This window comes from Homo sapiens, chromosome Y (assembly GCF_000001405.40).
Source record: "Homo sapiens chromosome Y, GRCh38.p14 Primary Assembly".
Lineage (NCBI taxonomy): Eukaryota > Metazoa > Chordata > Mammalia > Primates > Hominidae > Homo > Homo sapiens.
In genome coordinates this window covers 3,682,348-3,685,751 of record NC_000024.10, presented here as the reverse complement: position 1 = coordinate 3,685,751, position 3,404 = coordinate 3,682,348, and the positions used below count along the sequence as shown (strand labels likewise).

The following is a 3,404-nucleotide window of genomic DNA, read 5'->3' as shown; positions in this document are numbered from 1 at the left end:
TGTTGGTAGATCAGGCAGGCTGTATATCATTTGTACAAAACATCTCTAGCCAGGGTAAGGCTTTAGAAACTATTTTAAAAAGAAACTTGCCAAAATACTTTTGATATTTAGTACAAATACTAAATATTATAATTTTCTCCCAGCACATCTGTTTAAGCAGCCCAGTTACCTAAATGACCCTGTTAAAAGTCTGCTTATGGAACAAATAGGTGAAGTAATTTCCTGAGCCAAAAGGTACAGATAACAAATGTTAATAATAGCAGCAGACTAAAAACATTCCATTTTGTTGTTTGTTTTCCGTAGTCAACAGTCTTAGCAAAAGAACTTTAGAAAATGGCAGATTTTTTTTTAAAATTTACTGCTTGAAAAGAGTTTAATAAAGAACATCCAAGGCCTGATTGCTATTATTCTCAATATAACTTTCAATAACTTTCTGCAAGTTACATTTGGCTACTGTCAGACAACTTACTGATACATGGAAAAATGTCCAAAAAAACTGCAGTGGTTTACATACATTTTACATTACATATATTACTTCTTAAAACCCCCAATAGAATGAAGTCTTAGCAAACACAAATTTTAATTTCTGAACACCCTTCCAGTAAGATTTGTAAAGGTGGGGGGAAGGGGAGGAAGGACTTGTTTTTTATATTCCTAGTCTACTTGATTAAAATGTAATCTTCAAAGGGTTTGTTTAGCTCACTATCCAGGCTGTTAGGGTTATGATGAACATTATTACTTCTTTCCAAGGTAAAAAATGATATCTGAAAATAACATAAATGCTATGACATGATTTTCCCAAGCATGGCCTCAACTTGAAACATTAGAATTCTTAAGAATTCTAAAGATTGGTATACCACCACTGCACCAGAATTTTTAATTATTCCAACAACTACAGGAATTTTTTATATAGTTTTTTAATTTTATGAAATTAAAGCTGAAGAAAATAACTGATTTAGATGCCATAATAAAAGGACAAATATTTAGCCAGAGATATCAGTTCCTCCTGAAAAGGATATTTACCTCCTCTCATTGCAGTTTTTCTCAAGGTATCTTACTGATTTCAGATATAATTTAAAATTCACCTTAAAAATAGAAACAAACAAAAGGACCAGTTAAAATGACATTAACTGATAAAAATATGCTCAAATTTACTGACAGAATCATGGGCACTTCATACAATACTTAGACTCTACCAGCTTTAAGTAAAATAAATAAGGAAAAAATTATAATTACATAGCCAGTCTTTCCCCTTGTGGAAACAAAAAGCCACTTTTGACCAATTGCTCCCTACATATACATATACTGTATATTATTATAAGCTTCTTCAGAGAAGCAAAGCATCTTTGTCTTCCTGACACTGGATTATCTAGCATGTTAGTTTTTACATCAGGAAAGCAACTGCAAGTGTTGGGCCCAAAAGTATTTCTGGTTTACTCTTGAAAAGACCACTGAATATGCTTCTATACATACTGAACCAGGCAAATTTATGCAGTGCGTTCAACATCATCTCCTTACCAATACAGTCCAGATTCCGATTCTTTCTACCGCACCCCTAAGGAATTCAAAGCATTATTGGTGCAATTAGCAAAGAGAAAATGCCTGTCAATGACTGGAAGGCTGTTTTACAAGAGAAGCTGGTATGGATTTCACCTCCTTGTTGTATGGAACTGTACAGACAGCATGATACCTGAGCAAATAAATCAACTACCATGATCAGAAGGGCTTGTCAATCCATCGTTTTTGCTTTATCGTGTGCAAAGCCTGCTACTGACCCCTGAGCTTCCTGCATTTCTCTTTTCTTGAAAAATCAGTGCTTGATCCTTTCCAAAATAACCAGAAAAGAAATGAGGCAGAAAGTATCTCTTCATCGCAGTTCCCCCTCAGTCCCGAGACTGATAGAAAAGGATGTAACCAGACTCAGAGTTCTTTGAGTATCTGATGTCAACCCGTAGAATTCTTCAATAGCTTGTGTATCTATTTTTCTACAATGTCTCATCAAACAACAATCAAAAATCATGACTCTTAACTATCGCAATATAATGGCCTCGATTGGGACCACTTCCACAGTGAACCACAACAGCAACAAGGTCGTACATTCTGTCTGGATTGGTGGCATCACCTGAAGTGTTAAATAGACGAAGTTCTAAAGGAAAAACCACCCGGTAAGAGAGTTTTGTATATCGATGAAGTTGATCCATATATTTAAATCTCTTCAAGTGTAGAGCTAGAATCATGGGCAGTTTTTAAACTTTCATCTGTTTGTGTGCTTCCTGTTTGCTGCGACACTCTTCACAGTAATACTTGTATTAACTGCATAGAGTTTCTGTGTTGCTGAAACCCCTTAAGCAGTGAGTAATTGATGTATTTTGTTCCACGTCAACAGAAAGGTCTAAAAAATCTTCATCTTTGCTGCTTATAGTTTCGCAAGTAAGACTTCTGGTTTCATTAGTTAACGTTCCCCAAAAAATCTCATGAACCCACGTTGGGTCTGGTGTGCTGCTATTATTTTCATTATCAATATTATCATTAGGTTAGCGACCATTTTGTTTTTCCTGCTTTCTCTCTTCTTGTAAAATATCACCAATTGTATTTAGTAGGTAATTTAAGAATTCATGGGCATCTTGTTGCATGTAGTTGTCGAAAAGCTCATTTTATTTCTGTAATCTTGTGATGAACTTCTTCGGAGGTATTACTCCAACCTTTTTCTTCTGAGTGGCTATGCTGTGGAAGAGATCTGCTAAGCATGTAAGAAAGCTCTCCTTTTTCCTAGGTTGACTCTTATATGCAAGAACTTTTTCCCGAAACGGACGACAAAAATAAGTGCTTGAAGAACTGAATTGCAGTAGCAGGTATTCCCAAAATTGACTAATCCAAAATAATGCTCGTTGACCGGAAACTGTTCTGGACCAATCTCTTTCTCTAACGCCGAAGCATTGGCGCCCATGGTACAGATGGAGGCGAATTTGGAGACTGTCATTAGGATTTCCATCTGGCCAGCGCCATCTTCCACCCAATCATAGTGGCGGAGCCGGGTGGGGGAGGACGGGAGCCGGGCCCCCCGCTTGCACTGTAGCCCGCGGGTGGACCCCGAGCCGCCGCCGACCCACGCACCGAGCCCACTAGGCCTCCACTGCCGTCATCGCCGCCGGTCCCTCAGGTACTCCCGGGCCTAGTCCCCGTCAGCTGGCCGCTTTTTTTTTTTTTTTTTTTTTTTTGAGTTGTTTTTTTTTTTTTTTTTTTTTTTGAGTTTCCTCTCTGTCGCCCAGGCTGGAGTGCAATGGCGCGATCTCGGCTCACTGCAACCTCTGCCTCCCGGGTTCAAGCGATTCTACTGCCTCAGCCTCCTGAATAGCTGGGAATACAGGCGCGTGCCACAATGCCCAGCTAAATTTTGTATTTTT

General features: G+C 38.4%; 1 pseudogene; it reads right to left on the bottom strand.

The window, feature by feature from the left end:
• Positions 1-609: 609 nt before the first annotated feature.
• USP12PY (USP12 pseudogene Y-linked) lies at positions 610-3,165 on the bottom strand (annotated as a pseudogene).